Below are 19,881 nucleotides of genomic sequence, written 5' to 3'. Positions count from 1 at the left end.
TTAAAGTCGCAAAAAATGGAACCTTTTTCCTAGTTTACTAACAAGTAAGAGATGAAAATAAATGCATTTATAAAATATAGTCAGTCCCTTAGGATTGTAGACCAGGCATGCTAGCCTGGATTCCAGAGGAAAATCACAGACTTCCAAGGTCCTGTTTTGCTGGTTCCTGGCATGATTCTACAGGATAAAGCTTGCTTTGATCCCTTCTGCTCTGGTTAGTCACCTCAGCGTCCAGATCAAAGGGGAGGCACTGAATTCCCTTTCTTGGACTCACAGCTTTGAAGACGTGCCTCTATTCACATGACTGACACTGAGAATGATTTCTCCTTTATGGTAAACACATATGCTCTGCCTTCTGAGACAGACTGAGACTTGCAAAACCACAAAAGGTTGATACTACTGTGTAACACAATGACCATAAGGATCACGAGGCACTGGCCTACAGCCATGGACATCAGTGAAGGTTCGTTCTCTCTTATGCACAAGTCTTGATTGCACAAACTCCAGTGTCAAGGCAACCTGACTATGACAGTTGTCATTTTATTCTTTGTCAGAATTGATTTGGTAGATGCATTAGTTTCCTATTGCTGCTATAAAAGTTACCACCAACTTTAGTGGCTCAAAACGACCAAATTTATTATAGAGTTCCATAGGTTAGAAATCTAAAAAGGGTTGGCAGGGCTGTGATGCTTCTGATGACTCCAGGGGAGAATCCAATCCTTGCCTTTTCTGGCATCTAGAGGCTGCCAGTACTCCTTGGCTTGTGGCTCATTCTCTCATCTTCAGAGTTAGCAGCACAACATCTTCCAATCTCTCTCTCTTTTTGCTTTGTTGCCTTTTCCCCACTCAGCTCACATCATCACATTTCCTTGACTCTGACCCTCCTGCCTTCCTCTCATATGGACTCTTGAGAAGGCATTTGGTCCACCAGGATAACCCACAATAATCTTCCCACTCTAAGGTCTTCTAGGTAATCACATCTGCATAGACAGTTTCCAGGAATTATGGTGTGGACATCTTTGTGGGCCCGATAATCTGTCTACCAGTATGGATATGAATTGATAGTAAGTGGCCTCTTCTACCCTCAGCTAATAACTTCAAAGAGGATGACTATTCAGAAAAGTAAACAGTCTTTTAACCAAGTTTGTAGAAGTAGTTCAGCATCTCTATTACAATCTGAAATTATAATCTATTGTTTTATATATGTGAGTATGTATTTATGCAGATATATAAAATATATATTTCTTATTCACCAAATTATCTATCCTTGTACAAAGCATATAATAGATTCCTGATAAACTGTTATAAAAGTATAATGAATTTAACAAAAATCTAAGAGAATATGGTAGAGAGAAAAGACCCATCACCCCATTTCTTTTAACCATTGTTAAGTGGGAACTGATGAATAAATAAGAAATAGAGAAAAATGAATTGTGTTAAAAGACAGATGTATTAAATGGTGTTTTGCAGGGCTGAGGGGAAAGTAGATACCTTGGAATAGTTTATAAGTTTGAAGTATGTGAGAAAGTATTTTTTTCTACTTTTTAAAATGAGCACACTTACACTAGAGAATATTATTTCCAGAATCACACAGCTCCACTCGGAACTGCAGGATAAATGAAACAGTAAGAACAGAAGTTAAATGATGATTAAAAAACAGCATGGCAGAATTTAAACCTGCAGATTAAAGATGAAAAGTTTTGCCAAAGACTGTCAGGTGAGACATCTGCTACCTCACATGAAAGATGCCTCAGGGCACAAGATAGTTCTTAGAAAGTGCTTGTTCTGGATAAGAATTTTAATTTTCACTTAGTCAACAGAATAATTAGTAAAGATTAAGGAAATGCACCCTGAAGTTTCTTGGTAGATAGCATTTACTTGGCATAAAGTTCGGCAGAAATAAAAACTTATCAGTATAACCATGCATGATTTCTAAATTAGGCGCTGCTACGTGATCTTACCCAATCAAGCTGAATTGATAGCTTATCTGGGTCTCAAAAACTACCTACGTTAATTACAATAATATTTATTGGCATTAGATCTTTTGATTTGAGGCTGACTTTATCTCCACCCAAGCAAGTCAGGAGGAAAATGGATCTATGCTTTGAGTGGACAAAGAAATGGTTTAACTCAGTCCTGAGAAACGTTATTTATTTTCTATTCCATTTATAGTTCAGTAGTGTGCCTTGAAGAAGCATGGGGTGATGTGAAAAAAGAATCACAAAGATTTGGGGTAACAATCTGGCTCTTCACATTACAAGTTGGGTAATAGTGAGTAAGTCTACCACGCCTCACTGAGCTCAAGTGACCTTCTGTATAGAAAGAAAATAACTCTTCTTCCAAAGTCTGTTGTGAGGATTTCCTAAGACAATGTAGCAAAGCAGGTTCTCAGTGCAGGCTCATGCTTATTACCATTGACATTGAATGTACTTCCTTAACATCTTATAGAAAGTTTGGCATTATGGAATATGTTGGAGATAGAGATATCCTGTAAAATATCAAAGGGGTTCCTGACTGGGAACTGCTTTCCTGTTCATCCTTTCTCTCATGAAGGCTTCTTGTTCAGGAAGGTTCTCAGCTGAATGCAGGGAAAGGGGTCAACTGCTGCATAGTCCATCTGGTAGTAAGCCTGAGTCCTGGGAAGCAGAGTACATATAACCCCCAGGGTGAGAGATTTTTCTCTTAGATACCTAGTGCACCTGAATGATGTGAGAAATGCTCATCCAACTTAAAAAATAAAATAACCTGCATTATGAGAGGGCCCAAGGGTATGACTTACTTCCACTGGGCAGCTAGAATAAATTACACTACACAAATTGGCTTTTGAAGCGCCCATCTTCTGCACCGGTAGACCGTGAAGAGCAGCGTGAATGTGTGCCCTTTCATTTTAATTCATTCCTTCTCTGTTGTGGATCCTGCAATATAAGTACACAGAAGCTATTTTTGGGATGAAAAGGGAAATCTGGAAGATCAAAAGTTGAGTCTGGAGTTTGCTGTTTTCATCTTACCAATACATGAGTTTAAAAATATCATTTTTCTCTCTGAAAACCTCATGGTAGCCTCAGTATATTTTGTCAAAGGATCATATTGAAGACTGGATCATATTAAAGGACCATATTGAAGACTACCATATTGGCAGACTGGAATACAAAACATTTCCAGCTGCTTAATTTTTGTTTTTTAATTAATTATTATTATTATTTTTTGAGACAGAGTCTCACTCTGTCACCTAGGCTGGAGTGCAGTGGCACGATCTTGGCTCACTGCAACCTCCACCTCCCGGGTTCAAGTGATTCTCCTGCCTCAGCCTCCTGAGTAGCTGGGACTACAGGTGCCCACCACCAAGCCCGGCTAATTTTTTTAGTAGAGACGGGGTTTCACTGTGTTAGCCAGGATGGTCTCGATCTCCTGACCTCGTGATCCACCCACCTTGGCCTCCGAAAGTGCTTGGATTATAGGCGTGAGCCACTGCACCTGGCTGCTTAAATTTTTTAATACTTGATTTACTTATTTATTCCTTAATTGGACATCTCATCAATATTTGTTGAGCATCTTCTCTGTGTGGCCTCTGTTCTAGGACTGAAGAGTACAAGTGTGAAAAAAAATCTTTTCCTGCTGTCTCACTCCTGCTCCTTCTGTATTGTTTTATCTGTGTCCTCCTTCTCTCCCTGACTTCTGAGATGTTGGATCATCCCATGGCCCAGTCCTCAGACCTCCTCTCTTCTTTATCTCTACGTCAGGAGTTGGCATATTTTTTTTTTTTCTGTAAATGACCACAGTAAATATTTTAGGCTTTTGCTAGGTGCACAGTCTCTGTCACCAATTACTCAGCTCTGCCAGGGTAGCACAAAAGCATCCACAGACAACGTCTCAATGAATACATGTGGCTGTGTTCCAATACAGCATTTGAACAAAAACAGGAAGGTGCCCTGATTTGGCTGCAAGCCATAGTTCATGGACCCCAATCTAAGTAATCTCAATCCTATGCTTTAACACCCTTTAAATTCCAGCAATCCATAAATGTGTAACACAGGCTCCAGCTGTGTATATCTAATTTCCTACTTGATATCTCTACTCGGATATTATTCATACCACTCTCAAACCTAACATTCCTAAGACAGAATTTCTGATTCCCTCCTCCCTGTGCAAATCTGCTCCCTCCCTAGCATTTCTCACCTGGCTAAATGGCATCTTTGTCCCATCCAGTTGCTCAAGCCCAAAGGAGTCATCTTTATTTTTTGCTTTTTGTAACATTCCTTCACCAATTTATCAGCAGCACCATTGACTCTACCTTTAAAATACATCCTAAATCAAACTGCCTGTCACAGTCGCTGCTTCTACGCCTCTACTCCAAGACATAATCCCCTCTTGCCTGAACTCCTTCAGTAGCTTCTTAAGGGCTCTCCTTTCTTCCACTCTTAACCTAATCCCCAGCCAGTAAAACACCATCAAGGTTTCTTATCTCCTCCGGAGTTTTAAATTCTCATATCTTTATTATGGTTCTAAAGCCCCATGGAGTCTGTTTCCTGACCTTCTCTCTCCCATATTTTCTACAGTTACTCACTTCTTGCTTTGCCACACTGGCCTTCTTGCTATGTCTTCAACCAGCAGAGCCTGCTTCTATCTTAGCACTGTTGCACTTGCTTTTCACTCTGCCTGGAAAGCAAATCCTTGAGGTAATTGCATACATCTCTCCCACTTCCTCAGCATGGCCCTACCTGACCACCCGCCCTAAATAAGATAATGCCCTCCTGATTCTCTCTCCTCTGTTGTAGGTTGCTAGGAGCCACAGTGTGACTGCCTGACACTATTTTGCACATGCATTAATTTATTATTTGACTCTTCTACTAGAATGCAATCTTTGCGAGTCAGGGACATTCCCATTTTGTCACTGTGATGTCCCTGTTTCTATAAGAGTAGGTGGCATGCAGCAGGTATTCAATAAATATTTGTTGATTGTCTGAATATATAAATGAATGAATGAATGAGGAAAGAAAAATACATTTCTTTTCCTTATAACCTTATAGTCCACTGGGGTGATTCAGAGAAGTCAGTAGTGAAATAGCATGGGAAGATCCTTAATAAGAATGGGACAGGGGATTATGGAACTCCATGCTGCCCTTAGATTTTGGTTGCCAGAATCATCTTTTTAGAGAATGCAAAATCTTAACTGAGAATTTAATGTTGAATAGTAGTTAACCATGTTAAGAGAGGCATGGACCTTTGGGTATGCTGTGACTAAGAGAAGGCAGGGAAGCCGAGCTAACTAAAAATCTGAATGTGATTTTTTGCATTACTCCTCTCTTATCTTAATTAATATTTAATGCCTACTTTTTACTAATCTTCAGCTAAGGAAATTGTTTAACTGACTCATAATATTGTATGTCTGATCATTGAGTTGCAATTGTCCCTGCCGGGACAAGAGCTATGAAATTGGTGACATTTATAGTGGTCAAAATTTTCTGTTGGTAACACACTGGCAAGTCACATCTCCTACTTGGTAAGGCCCTGGGGCAGTGATTTAGATGTGATAATTACCTTCATTCTCTGTCCTCACCTTAATGAATCATTCTGTCCTGGGGAGACTCAATTGTCTTGGATTGTCATGGCAACCTTACCATAATGGGGAAAAAGGCCTAAACTTTGAGAAAAACAAGATTAATAAGATTAAGCCATCATTCCTTCTCCTGCTTTGCCAGAAATGCAATTTTGTCACACTTTTTACCTGCAAAATATACACCACAAGATTTTTTTTTTTCAATTTAAATGTGCCAATGCTTTTAGCATGTCCACATTCTCATTTCAAGCTTTGTGAAACTGGCAGGGGTGGGAATTATCCCCATTTTACTTGGGTTAAGTTGTTTTCCTTTCTCCTGCTGATGGCATCCCTTAGCACCTGTTTGAAAACCCAAAAAGAATTAATTAATGAGACATTTCACATTGACAAAATATTACATAATGGCATCTAAAGTAGAGCTTAATCATACTAATGCATTTCCCACAATAGACAGTGGTACTTTTCAGTAATTTCAGAAATGGTTCAAGACAGGTATTCACAGCCAGACTAGGCAAACCATGCTGTTCATTTCAAACACATGGTATGAGGATTGTAAATTACATCAGGCCATTAAATTTTACTTCTCACCTGCTGAAAGGATATGGGAAACACTTCATATTCAATCTTTCAAAAACTGCATCACTCTTTCAGACAAATGATGTCAACTCATATGTCAGTGAAATGGATCCCATATGAATCTCTAAAGAAAAAATTTATTGGGTATTCAATTGGCAAGGGAATACAGGTATAATATGCTTAAACTAATAAAAAATAAACTATTTTGAAAATAAGAATTGCTCTTAGTTATTTTATTTTTATTAATTTAAAAACAGATTCCACAGATTTTGGACAACACTTATACCCCCAACTCATTTATGATCATTGTTAGGAACCAGATTGTGTCCCCTCAAAATTTATATATAGAGCCCTAATCCCCAGTGGGGCCGTATTGAGAGATAAAACCTTTAAAGGGATAGGGTAGGTAAGGGTAGCTCCCTAACCAATAGAACTAGTGTCTTTAAAAGAGGAAGAGACACCGGAGAGCTCTCTCTCTCTCCACCATGTGAAGACACAGCAAGAAGGCAGCTGTCTGCAAGATAGGAGGAGAAGCCTCACGGGAAACCAACCCTGCCAGCACCTTGATCTTGGACTTCCAGTCTCCAGAACTGTGAGAAAATAAATTTCTGGTGTTTAAGACACCCCATCTGTGGTATTTTCTATGGCAAAATACACCCCAAGCAAGACTAATATAATCATGTTGGGGATAGAAAGTACATACCGTATATGAGTTGTACTCTCAATGACCGTATGTCACAGATTTAATATACTTATAGAATTCCAAGAGTAATATGCTTATTTGTTGAACACTAAGATATGACAGACTTTTTCTGTATATCTTAATTCTAAACCAAAAAAAAATTACAAATGAAATCCCTGGATGGCTCTCTTCTGAATATTGTGAGATATATCTGATGGTTGACACATGGGCCACAGGAAGGTTGACCAACTGTCTGGTTTGGGACTTTTGGTGCTAAAACCAGGGATGTCCCAGACAAACTAGTACCAGTTGGGCACTCTGGCAAAGGCCTGTGCCTTAGTCATCATGGTCACTAGGCAAGTGAGTTCAGAGTGGTGGGACTTGTAATAGGGATTTTTAGTCAGGATCTTGTCAGGGTTGAATACTCAGACCAATTTTTAAAGAGAGATTTTAATGCAAAGAATTGCATTAATACGGAATTGTTGACTAGGAAACTGAAAAGGCAACCCCCCCCGCCCCCAAATATAGAGTAGTATATAGAGTAGCACCTGCAAGAAACAGACAGCATCCCTGGGGCTTGGGAATAAAAGGAAGAAGTTGGAGTTACTAAAATTTAGATGCTTAGATGAGTGGTGCCATTGGGCTGGGACTCAAGAGTCCTGAGAAGGGAGAGCTACTTGGCTGGTTGGTACTGACTCTGCTGGGGACCAATGGGACTAATTGTGCAAATGGAAAAATTGCAAACTGGAACCAACTGCTACTACCAGAATGAAGTGCCACTGCCAGGGTGAAGGAGATTTGCTTGAGTGATGCTGATAGGAGCAGAAGTCACAGAGAAGGACAGTGTCTCTTTTTATTCCTCAAAGCTTGCAGTCTCTTTCTAGATTCCCTTTGAAATAATCCAACAGGAAGCAGCCAAGAAAGCAGATGCTGGTTTACAGACTCCTAGTCCAGCATCATAAAACAGAATATAGAACGATTGGTTTGTGTTAAGACACTAGCTTAGTAACTGGCCTCAGGGGTAGGGGGTGGTTAATGAAACACAGGAAAAGTGTTCAAAAGGTGCTGGACAGCAACAGATATGACAAACATCCACTACAAACTGATAATCTGTAACAAAGCCTCTGCACTCTACGCCAAGGGAGGAGGGCTGAGGCACCCTTAGCCAGCAGTCAAAAAATGCTCTAAAAAGTGTAGCAGCTGTTTAGAAGCTGAAGAGACAGGCAGCAAGAAGTATCAGCTGGCAACAAAAGAGGAGGCAAGAATTTAAAAGCTGAGTACTGCTGAGGATATCGTGTGTGGGAGCAGTCAGCCTGTTTATTTCAATACCCATTAAAAGAAACAGGGAGAGAAGAAGGGAGCTACTTTTGTGCCAGGTACCATGCTAAGTCATTTAATGTGCTATGATGGAGGCATTATTTGCCATTTTGTGAAAGAGGAAACAAAGTCTTAAAGAAATGAACTATCATGATCTGGGTCAAATCCTTACATCACTTGTGGAGCAAGAATTTGAATCCAGGTTTGTCTGGCTTAACCCATTGCAGTAATTGATGGTTATAAGAGTGGTCTTAAAATAACAGCAAGCCCTCGGCTCTATAACTTCTCCTCTTTCTCCCACTCCCACAGAAGGGAGGGATCCTGGTAGGTAACAAAGGAAAGAATGGAGCTACAATAGACATAAAAATTAGAAGAAAGAAAAATTTCACTATCAAGGAAATACAGGAAGCTCCCCATTTTTTTTTCTAGGTGCATGGGTATGAGATTCCTGACTAGAGCAGTTAAATGATATGAATCTAACAGTCTTGGAGGAGGCAAGTTTATTGGAAAGTTTTCTTCCCAGTGAGTGGGCTTGGGAGAGGTGTCTTCTCTTAGTTTTTGCTCTAATTTTAGTTGGCAAGATTAGATAGGGACCCAATTTTGTGCTGGGTTTATCTTCCACAAAGGAAGCAGAAGCTAGAAGACTAAGACCAGATTAGAATAAGCTCTATGGAATAGGCTTTAGAAATCTTGTTCCACCTAAGTCTCTGAGTTCTATGTAAAGATGAATTGTAAGTTTCTGCATTGGCCAGTCCATGCCACTATGGTAGGTTCCTCAGTCTATTTTCTGTGGCTCTAACAGAATACCATAGACTGGGTCATTTATAAACAATAGAAATTTATTTGGCTCACAGTTCTGCAGGCTGGAAAATCCAAGAACAGGATCCCAGCATCTGCTCAGCGTCTTGTGAGGGCCTTCTTCCTGCATTAATATATGGCAGAAGGACAAGAGAGTGCACTCAAGAGCAAGAGAGTACCCATTTAAAGGCATTAAACCCACACACGTAGACAGAGCCCCCATGGCCTAATCACCTTGTAAAGGCTTCATCTCTTACTACTGTCACAATGGCAATTAATATCAACATGAATTTTAGAAGGGGCATTAAAACTATAGCATTTTTCCCTTGGACTCTTAAAACTCATGTTCTTCTCACATACAAAATACATTCATTCTATCCCAATAGCCCACAAAGTCTTAACTTATTTAAGCACCAACTCAAAAGCCCAAAGTCAGGCTGGGCGCTGTGGCTCACACCTGTAATCCCAGCACTTTGGGAGGCCAAGGTGGGTGGATCACCTGAGGTCAGGCATTCGAGACCAGCCTGGCCAACATGGTGAAACCTCGTCTCTACTAAAAATACAAACAAAATAGCCTGGCGTGGTGGCACGTGCCTGTAGTCCCAGCTACTCCAGAGGCTGAAGCAGGAGAATCACTTGAATCTGGGAGGCAGAGGTTGCAGTGAGCAGAGATGGCGCCATTGCACTCCAGCATGGGCAACGAGAGTGAAACTCCATCTCAGAAAAAAAAAAAAAAAAAAAAGCCCAAAGTCTTGTCTAAATAAGATACAGATAAGACTCAAGGCATGATTCATCCTGAGGCAAATTTCCTCCAGCTGTGAGCTTATGAAATCAAAACAAGTTATCTACTTGCAAAATACAATGATGGGATAGGCATAGGATAGACATTATCAATCCAAAAAGGAAAAGGAGGCAAGAAAGGAGGGATAACTGGTCCCAGTTAAGTCCAAAACCCAATGGGGTGACCAACATTACATTTTAAGGCTCTAAAATAATGTCTGTGACTCCATGTCTCACATCCTGGGCATAGCTGGTGGGGGTCCGCCCCCAAGGACTTCAGCAGCCCTGTCCCTGTGGCTTTGCTGGACTCCTCCCACCCAGCAGCTCTCACAGGTTTGTGTCTCGTGCCTGCATCTCTTCCAGGCTGGCACTGTATGCTGCTAGCCTAACAGCTCTGGAGTCTCTGAGGTAGCCTTATTCCCACAACTCCACTAGGCAGTGCCCTAGTGGGGATTCTCTATGTTGACTCTGACCCTGTATTTCTGCTTGGCATTGCTCTAGCAGGGGCTCTCTGCAGTGGCTCTATCTCTGCCACAAGTCTCTGCCTAAACCCCCAGGCTGTCTACAATGTCCTTTGCAATGTAGATGGAGACAGCCATGCCCCTACAGCTCTTGCATTCTGTGCGTCTGTAGAATTAGCACCACATAGATGCTTCCAAGTCTTACTGCTTATACCTTCCAAGTGGTGGGTCAAGCCACACATGTGCATACTTGGGCCATGGCTAGAGTAGCTGAAGAATGTGCACTGAAATGTTGGAAGCAGCCTTGAAGTGGCCCTGGGCAGTGAGTCCATGGAGGGTATCCTGGATTCTTCTCCCAAAACCAGCCTGCCCTGCTAGAGCTCTGGGCCTGTGATGGGAGGTATAGCCTTGAAGATCTTTGAAACGACTTAGAGGTCTTCCTTTTATTGTCTTAATGAATAGCACCTGTCTGCCTTCTATCAATACTAGTCTCTTTGGCAAATGGTGGCTTGACCACACCCTTAGTTTGCTCTCCTAAATGTGCCTTTTCACTCTTTAAATAGCTAGGCTGTGGATTTTCCAAATTGTTTTGTTCCATCTTTAAGCCATTTCCTTCTAGTCACATTTTATTGTATGTGGATAAAAGTAGCCACTGTACTTTGCTGCATACATATTTCTTCTACCAGAAATCCTAATTCATCACTCTTAAGTTCTGCATTTCATGAAGTCCTTGGGCATGGACACAATTCACCCAGGTTTTTGTGCAATTGTATAATGAGGATGGCCTTTATTTCAGCTTTCAATATCTTCTTCCTCATCAGAATGGCCTTTTCTGTACATATTGCTACCAAAATTCTGACCATGCCACTTAAGTAATCTCTAAGAAGTTCAGACTCTTCCTACACCTCTCTCCTCTTCTGAGCCCTCATCTGAATCACCCTTAATGCTCCATTTATAACAATATAGGCTTTTTCTAGTCTGCTCCTGCAAACTCTTCCAGCCTCTGTTCCGAAGGTCTTTCCACATTTTCAGGTGTCTGTTACTGTAATAATCCCAACACTCAGTACTAGTTTTCTCTTAGTCTGTTCTCCTAGTCTGCTGATATAACAGAATACCACAAACTAGGTAATTTATAAACAATAGAGATTTATTTGGCTCATAGTTTTGGAGGATGAAAAGTCCAAGAACACGGTGCTGTCACCTGCTTGGCACCTGCTTGCTGTGTCCTAACATGGCCAAAGGGCAAGGGTGCGGGATACGGTTTGGCTCTGTGTCCCCACCCAAATCTCACCTTGAATTATAATTCCCATAATCCCCAAGTGTCAATGGTAGGACCAGGTGGAGGTAATTGAATCATGGGTGCAGCTTCCCCCATGCTGTTCTCCTGATAATGAGTTAGTCTCACAAGATCTGATGATTTTATAAGCGTCTGACATTTCCTCTGCTCGCACTCACTCTGTCCTGCTGCCCTGTGAAGAATGTGCCTGCTTCTTTTTTGTCTTCCATCATGATTGTAAGTTTCCTGAGGCCTCCCAGTCATGCTGAACTGTGAGTCAATTAAACCTCTTTACTTTATAATTTATCCAGTTTGGGGTGTTTCTTCATAGCAGTGTTAGAACAGACCAATACAGTGCATGAGGGCAAAAGAGAATCTACTCCCCAAAGCCTCCCTTTTAGAGGAATTAAACCTACCCATGGGCGGGGGGAGCCCTCATGGCCTAATCACCTCTTAAAGGCTCCACTGCCTAATACTGCAACAATGGCAATTAAATTTCAACATGAGATTTAGAGGGGACATTAAAATCATAGCATTTGGTAAATCCTCTAGAGTTAAGACAGCCATTTGGCTAGAGTACACAGGAACTTGAGTGTGGTGGCGGATACTGACAAGGGGTGGATGCAGAAAAGAATAATTTACCATTATGCTTGCTAACTCCATTTAAGAAAGCAGGAAAGGGTAAACCATATTTTAGAACTTTCTCACGACCATTTATTTGGTTATTAAATAAGATTCAGCTAAATGAAAAATCCATGACAGATCATATGTAAGGTCACAAAACAAGTTTTAACAAATTTAAGAAGATGTAAATAATATCAAATATCTTTTTCTGAATGCAATGGTATAAACCTAGAGATCAGTAATAAAAGAAATTTCAGAAAATACATAATTATGTAGAAATTAAACAACAGGTTCTCAAAGAATCAATGGGCCTGTTATCAAAAATATCATGAGATCTACAGAGGAGGCAAAGAGAAACTTTATTTTTCAATAAAATATGATTCACAAATCTGGATAACTTGACCTGGGAGAAACCAAGAGTATATGCTCCACCAAAAATGGGGGAAAATCTGAACTTTATGCCTTGCAAGATTTGCTTAGTACACATAGTCAGCTAGGAGTGGGGAGTTTAGGAATATTTATAAAGGTGAGCAAATATTTGCATAGTGAGAAAACATTTAGGAAACATACATAAAAGCCATGTTCACTTTGGGGTGGAGTTTTAACAATAAAATAGGTGGAATTTGGCTTTTACCTCAGGAGGTCTTTTGCAGGACATAAGAAAAGTCTATGTGCAGACTTTGGCTGCTGGCCAAAACTTTCTGTGGTGTTTTTGCAGGAGAAAGTTACTAAAATCAGTTTCTTGTCCAATCAAGGCTGTAGTTATAACTTGTGAAATTGAATGGGATTGGTCAGTCGTATCTGGTGATCAATGAGTGGCAATTATTTTGTACTGTTTATCTTGAGGCCATTGCTTGCTTAGCTGCTAGAGAAAAAGAAAAAGTCTTATGGCAGTTAGAACACAGTTTATTCTTTAAATGTAAGGGTTTGTAACAACCTTTGCTTGGCATAGCCTTAGGTCTTATTTACAATTTGTTATCTTATGACCACAAAGAGTCCATTCCATCAGACTTATTATCTTTATTTTAACAAGTCAAAGACAAAAATCAAAGGTAGATTAAAAGTATCTTTAGATAAATGAAAATGGAAACATAACATAACAAAACTTATGGGACCCAGCAAAAGCATTTCTAAGAGGGAAGCTTATAGCAATGAACCCCTACATCAAAACAGAAGAAAAATACCAAATAAACAATCTAGTACTATATCTCAATGAACTAGAAGAGGAATAACAAACTAAGTCCAAAATTAATAGAAGGAAATAATAAAGATTGGAGCAGAAATAAATGTAATAGAGACTAGAAAATCAATAGAAAAGATCAACACAAGTAAAAGCTGGTTTTTTTTGAGAGAAACACAATGAACAAATCCTCAGCTAGATTAAGAAGAAAGGGAAGACTCAAATAAATAAAATCAGAAATAAAAGAGGAAACATTATAACTGATACCATGGAAGCACAAAAGATCACGAGGCTACTATGAACAGTTATACACTAATACATTGTATAACCTAGAAGGAATAGAGATACCTTTTTAGACACATGCTACTTAACAAGACTAAATCATAAATAAATAGACATCTGAACAGACTAATAATGAGTAAGGAGACAGAATTAATAATAAAATGTCTTCCAAAAAAATTAGCCAGGCGCCATAGTGGGCGCCTGTAGTCCCAGCTACTCGGAGGCTGAGGCAGGAATGGCGCGAACCCAGGAGGCGGAGCTTGCAGTGAGCCAAGATCGCGCCACTGCACTCCAACCTGGGCGACAGAGCGAGACTCCGTCTCAAAAAAATAAAATAAAATAAAATAAAATAATAAAATAATAAAATAATAGAAGGTCTTCCGTCAAAGAAAAAGCCCAGGGCTTGATAGGTTCACTGCTGAATTATCCCAAATACTTAAAGAAAGCAATTCTTCTCAAACTCTTCCAAAAAACTGAAGAGAAGGAAATACTTCCAAACTTGTTTCAAGAGGACAACATTATCCTGATACCAAAGCCAGGCAAAGACAGCAAAAGAAACAAAAATTGCAGGCTGATATTCCTAATGAATATAGATACAAAAGTTATTTACAAAATACTAGCGAAGTGAGCTCAACAACACCTTAAAAAGATCATTTAAAATTATCAAGTGAAATTCATTCCTGGGATGCAAGGACAAGTTCAACATATGCAAATCAATAAATGTGATACACCACATTAACAAAATTAAGGACAAAACCATGTAATCATCTCACAGAGGCAGAAAAGGCATTTGACAAAACACAAGATCTTTCATGCTAAAAACTCTTAAGAAATTAGGTATGGAAGGAATTTAGCTCAGCACGATATAGGCCATATATGACAAGCCTGTAGCTAACATCGTACTCAACAGTAAAAAGTTGAAAGCTTTTCCTTTAAGATCAAAAACAAGATAAGGATGTCCACTTTTACCACTTCTATTTAACATAATACTGGAAGCCCTAGCTGAAGCAATTAGGTAAAAGAAGGAAATAAAAGGCATCTAAATTGGAAAGAAGAAAGTAAGTTGTTTTTCTGTTTGCAAATGACATACTCTTATAAATAGAAAACCATAAAGACTCCACAGGAAACTATTACAACTAATAAATGAATGCAGTAAAGTTGCAGGATTCAAAACCAACATAAAAATTTTTCATATTTCTCTACACAATGAGTTATCCATAAAGGAAATAAAGGAAACAATACCCTTCACAGTAGCTACAAAACAACAACAAAAACCAACAATCAACTTACAAATAAATTTAAGCAAGGAGTTGAAAAATTGTATACTGAAAACTATGAAATACTAATGAAAAAAGTTAAAGAGGACATAAATAAATGGAAAGATATCTTGTGTTCATGGATTGGAAGAATTGGTATTGTTAAAACACTTATACTACCCAAAGCAATCCACAGATTCAATGCAATTTCTATGAAAATTCCAATGACATTTTTCAGAAATAGAAACAATAATTCTAAAATTTGTATGAAACCGCATAAGACCCTGAATGACCAAAGCCATCATGAACAAAAAGTACAAAGCCAGAGGAATCATACTACCTGATTTCAACATCTACTACATAGCTATAGTAATTAAAACAGTGGCATAAAAACAGACACACAGTCCAATGGGATAGAGAATGGAGAGCTCAGAAAAAGGTCCACACATTTACAATCAATTGATCTTTGACAAAGTTACCAAGAACACACAATGGCAGAAAAAACAGTTTATTAAATTATGCTGGGAAAACTGGATATCCACATGCAGAAGAATGAGATTAAACCATTATTTCACTCTATGTGAAAAATCAACCCAAAGTAGATTGAAGACTTAAATATAAGACCCAATACTGTAAAATCACTAGAGGAAAACATAAGGAGAGAGTTCCAGGACATTGGTTTGGGCAATGATTTCTTGGCTAAGACCCCAAAAGCATAGGCAACAAAAGTGAAAATAGGCAAATAGGATTGCATTAAACTAAAAAGCTTCTGCACAGCAGAGAAAACAACAGCTTGCAAAGACAACCCATGGAATGGAAGAATATATTTGCAAGACATACATCTGATAAAGAGTTAATATCTAAAATATATGAGGGACTCAAACAACTCAAAATCCGCAGGGGCAGAATGATATGGTTTGGCTGTGTCCCCATTCAAATCTCAACTTGAATTGTACCAGAATTCCCATGTGTTGTGGGAGGTACCCAAGGGCAGGTAATTAAACCAGGGGGGCCAGTCTTGCTTGTACTATTCTCATGATAGTGACTAAGTCTTATGAGATCTGATGGGTTTATCAGGGGTTTCTGCTTTTACTTCTTCCTTATTTTCTCTTGCTGCCGCAATGCGATTTAAAAAGTGCCTTTCCCCTCCCACCATGATTCTGAGACTTCCCCAGCCATGTGGAGCTGTAAGTCCAATGAAACCTCTTTGTCTTCCCAGTCTTGGGTGTGTCTTTATCAGCAGCATGAAAACAGACTGATATAAAGTAACACAATTAAAAAACGGGCAAAGGGCCTAAATAGCTATTTTTCAAAGAAGACATGCAAATGTCTGACAGGTATATGAAAAACTGCTCAAAATCATTAGTCATCAGAGAAATGCAAATAAAACTGCAATAATATACCAACTGACACTGACACCTGTTGGAATGATTACTATCTAAAAAAGGAAAGACAAATGTTGACAAAGATGTGGAGAAAAAGTCACTTTTGCACAAGTTGGTGGGAAGGTAAATTAATATAACCATTATGAAAAACAGTATGAAATTTTCTTAACAAAATAAAAATAGAACTACCATATGGTCCAGCAATCTTACTACTGGGTATGCACCCAAATCATATAAAATCAGTATGTTGAGAAGGTATCTGCACTCCCATATTTATTCACAATAGCCAAGATACAGAATCAATCTAAGTGTCCATCAACAGATAAATTGATACAGAAAATGTGGTGTATATTCAAAATGGAATACTAATCAGCCTTAAGATAGAAATCGTGGGGTTGGGACCAAGATGGCTGACCTGATTCATCAGGGAAGAGTTTCTCTCACTGAGACCAGACTGTCAAAAAGACCTGTGCACTCCAAGCACGTCTTCAGGAGGAAGACATTGAGAGTGGACAGATGGAGGATGCAGATCCTGGACTGAAGGAAGTGGAGTCTGGGAACCCTGCATAAATAAGGTGGCTGAGCACCAGAACTTGTTCCTGGCCCTGAGTAACTCCAGGGGAAGGAGTGGGCGGAATGGTCATGGAGTGGCCCACTCTTGCCATAGACCCCCAGAATCCTAGCTGCAAGAGACCTCGTGACTCCACAGAGATTTGAGCTAGTGGCGAGATCTGCAAGGAGAGCTGGCAGAGACAGGACTCCAGCCTGTATAGAGCCCAGAGGGTCTGGCATGTGAATAGCTGTAGTGGGGCACAGCCAAAGACACGCATTCCCTAAGGCTCACCATGTTCCAAAGCCATGTGGCTTTGGCTTTTCTTGACTGTCAGACCTGCACAAAGCAGGGCTGTCTTTCCCAAGGGACAAGACCAGTCTGATCTGAGCATCCTCTGTCTGCCAGCCTCTCCTGGGGTCCCTGCCTGGCCCCGCCCACTTGCAACACAGCTCCGATGCCCAACTGGGCACTACAATAGCTCCTTCACTGGCAAAACCCATCTAACTGTTGGAGTGCTTCTGCAGATGGATCCCCACCAGCACAGTGTTACCCACAGCCTCTCCTCACTGCTTTGCCAGCCTGCAAACATGTGCATGGAACTAATGTCTCCCAGCTGCTGCCAGCACAAGCATGTATGCTTGAACTTTACTGCCCTGATGAAGCGCTTTTGCTGGCATCTCCAATTGGATTGTTGTTACCAGAGGACTGGGAACACCTCAGCCCCACCAGCACAATAGGTGCTTAACCTTGAGGGACCAAAGGACAAATCCATGGGCCTAGTCCCAACCCTTCAGGGTTAGAGCATACAGCCCAGGAGTGCTGAGCTGAGACTTGGCTCCCTGAAATTATCCAGAGTGAAGCCAGTTGACTGAACCCAAATTATGCCACAGTCAAACTCTGAAGGGTATCAAAGAATATAAAAGTGAAAAGCTCCATCCAAAGAACAGCAACTACAAAGATTAATGAAACATCAGTCCACACAGATGAGAAAGAACCAGTATAAGAACTCCGGCAACTTAAAAAGTCAGAATGTCTTTTTACTTCCAAACAACTACACTAGCTCTCCAGCAATGGTTCTTAACCAGGTTGAAATGGCTGAAATAACAGAAACAAGAATTCAGAACCTGGATGGCAATGATCATCAAGATCCAGGAGAAAGTTGAAACTGAATCCAAAGAATCTAAGGAATCCAGTAAAACTTTACGAGGGCTGAAAGACAAAACAGTCATTTTGAGAAAGAACCAGCCTGATCTGATAGAGATGAAAAAGTTACGAGAAGTCTTTCTTCATACTGTCTCAAGTATTAACAGTAGTAAAGAACCAGCCTAATCTGATAGAGATTAAAAAGTTACTAGAAGTCTTTCCTCGTACTGTCTCAAATATTAACAGTAGAATAGACCAAGCTAAGGAAAGAACTTCAGAGCTCGAAGATTGGTTCTTCAAATCAACTCGGTCAGACAAAAATAAAGAAGAAAGAATAAAACAGAATGAAGAAAACCTACAATAAATATGGGATTATGTAAAGATACCCAAACCTACGATTCATTGGCATCTCTGAAAGAGAGAGAGTGAGCAACCTTGAAAACATATTTGAGAATATCATCCATGAAAATTTCCCTAACCTTGCTAGAGAGGTGAACATTCAAATTCAGGAAATTCAGAGAACTCCTGTGAGATACTATCCAAGATGACCATCCCCAATACACGTAGTCATCATATTCTCCAAAGTCAATGTGAAAGAAAAATATTAAAGACAGATAGAGAGAAAGGGCAGGTCACCTACAAAGATAAGCCCATTATGCTAATAGCAGACCTTTCGACAGAAACTCTATATACCAAAAGAGATTGGTGGCCTATATTCAGCATTTTTAAAGAAAAGGAATGCCAACTGAGAATTTTATATCCGGCCAAACTGAGTTTCATAAGGGAAGGAGAAATAACATTATTTTCAGAGAAGCAAATGCTAAGAGAATTTGTTACCACCAGACCTCCCTTACATGAGGTCCTTAAAGGAGTGCTAAACATAGAAACTTTTTTTGAGATGGAGTCTCACTCTGTCCCCAGGCAGGAGTGCAATGGCACAATCTTGGCTCGCTGCAAGCTCCGCCTCCCAGGTTCACGCCATTCTCCTGCCTCAGCCTCCCGAGTAGCTGGGACTACAGGCGCCTGCCACCATGCCTGGCTAATTTTTTGTATTTTTAGTACAGACAGGGTTTCACCGTGTTAGCCAGGATGGTCTTGATCTCCTGACCTCGTGATCCACCTGTCTTGGCCCCGCAAAGTGCTGGGATTACAGGCATGAGCCACCATGCCTGGCCGGAAACTAAAGACTGTTAACAGCCACCACAAAAACACACTTAAGTACATAGACCATAGACATTGTAAAACTCTACATAATCAAGTCTATGTAACAATGAGCTAACAATGCAAGGACAGGACCAAATCCACACATATCAATATTAATCTTGAATGTACATGGGCTAAATGCCCCACTTTAAGAGGCACAAAATAATAAGTTTGATAAAAAAGCAAAACACAACTGTATGCTCTGTACAACAGACCCATCTCAAATGTAATGACACACATAGGCTCAAAGTAAAAGGATGAGAAAAATCTATTAAACAAATTAAAAACAAAAAAGAGCAGAAGTTGCTATCTTTATTTCAGACAAAACAGACCTTACACCAACAATGATACAAAAGGACAAAGAAGTGCGTTACATAAAGATAAAGGGTTCAATTCAACAAGAAGACTTAACTATCCTAAATATATATATGCACCCAACACTGGAGCACTGAGATTCATAAGACAATTTCTTAGGCACCTACAAAGAGGCTTAGAGTACCATACAATAATAGTGGGAAACTTCAACACCCCACAGAGGATATTGGATAAATCATTGAGGCACAAAGCTAACAAAGATATTCATGACCTAAACTCAACACTTGACCAAATGGACCTAATAGACATGGAGATACAGGACACTACACCCAACAGAATATACATTCCTCTTATTTGCACATGGCACATACTCTAACATAAAACATATGTTTGGCCCTCAATCAATTCTCCATGAATTCACAAAACTAAAATTATAACAGCCACACTCTCAGACTACAGTGCAGTAAAAATAGATATCAATACCAAGAAGATA

At 39.9% G+C, this 19,881-nt stretch overlaps 1 long non-coding RNA gene across 2 annotated transcripts in view, besides 1 other annotated feature; it reads left to right on the top strand.

The window, feature by feature from the left end:
* Positions 1-19,881, top strand: part of LOC105374660 (uncharacterized) — a 184,231-nt gene that overhangs the window by 69,257 nt on the left and 95,093 nt on the right. The window lies entirely within an intron of this gene.
* Positions 261-555: a silencer, noted in NCBI's record as "tiled region #11758; HepG2 Repressive DNase matched - State 24:Quies, and K562 Repressive non-DNase unmatched - State 24:Quies". NCBI's record gives its function as "represses a minimal TATA promoter and a strong SV40 promoter by Sharpr-MPRA in HepG2 and K562 cells {active_cell/tissue: HepG2 | K562}" and the evidence as "EXISTENCE:reporter gene assay evidence [ECO:0000049][PMID:27701403]".

The sequence above is a fragment of the Homo sapiens genome, chromosome 5 (genome assembly GCF_000001405.40).
Source record: "Homo sapiens chromosome 5, GRCh38.p14 Primary Assembly".
In the NCBI taxonomy this organism is placed as follows: Eukaryota; Metazoa; Chordata; class Mammalia; order Primates; family Hominidae; genus Homo; species Homo sapiens.
The sequence above is the reverse complement of the archived record's forward strand: the minus strand, read 5'-3'. Positions and strand labels throughout refer to the sequence as shown.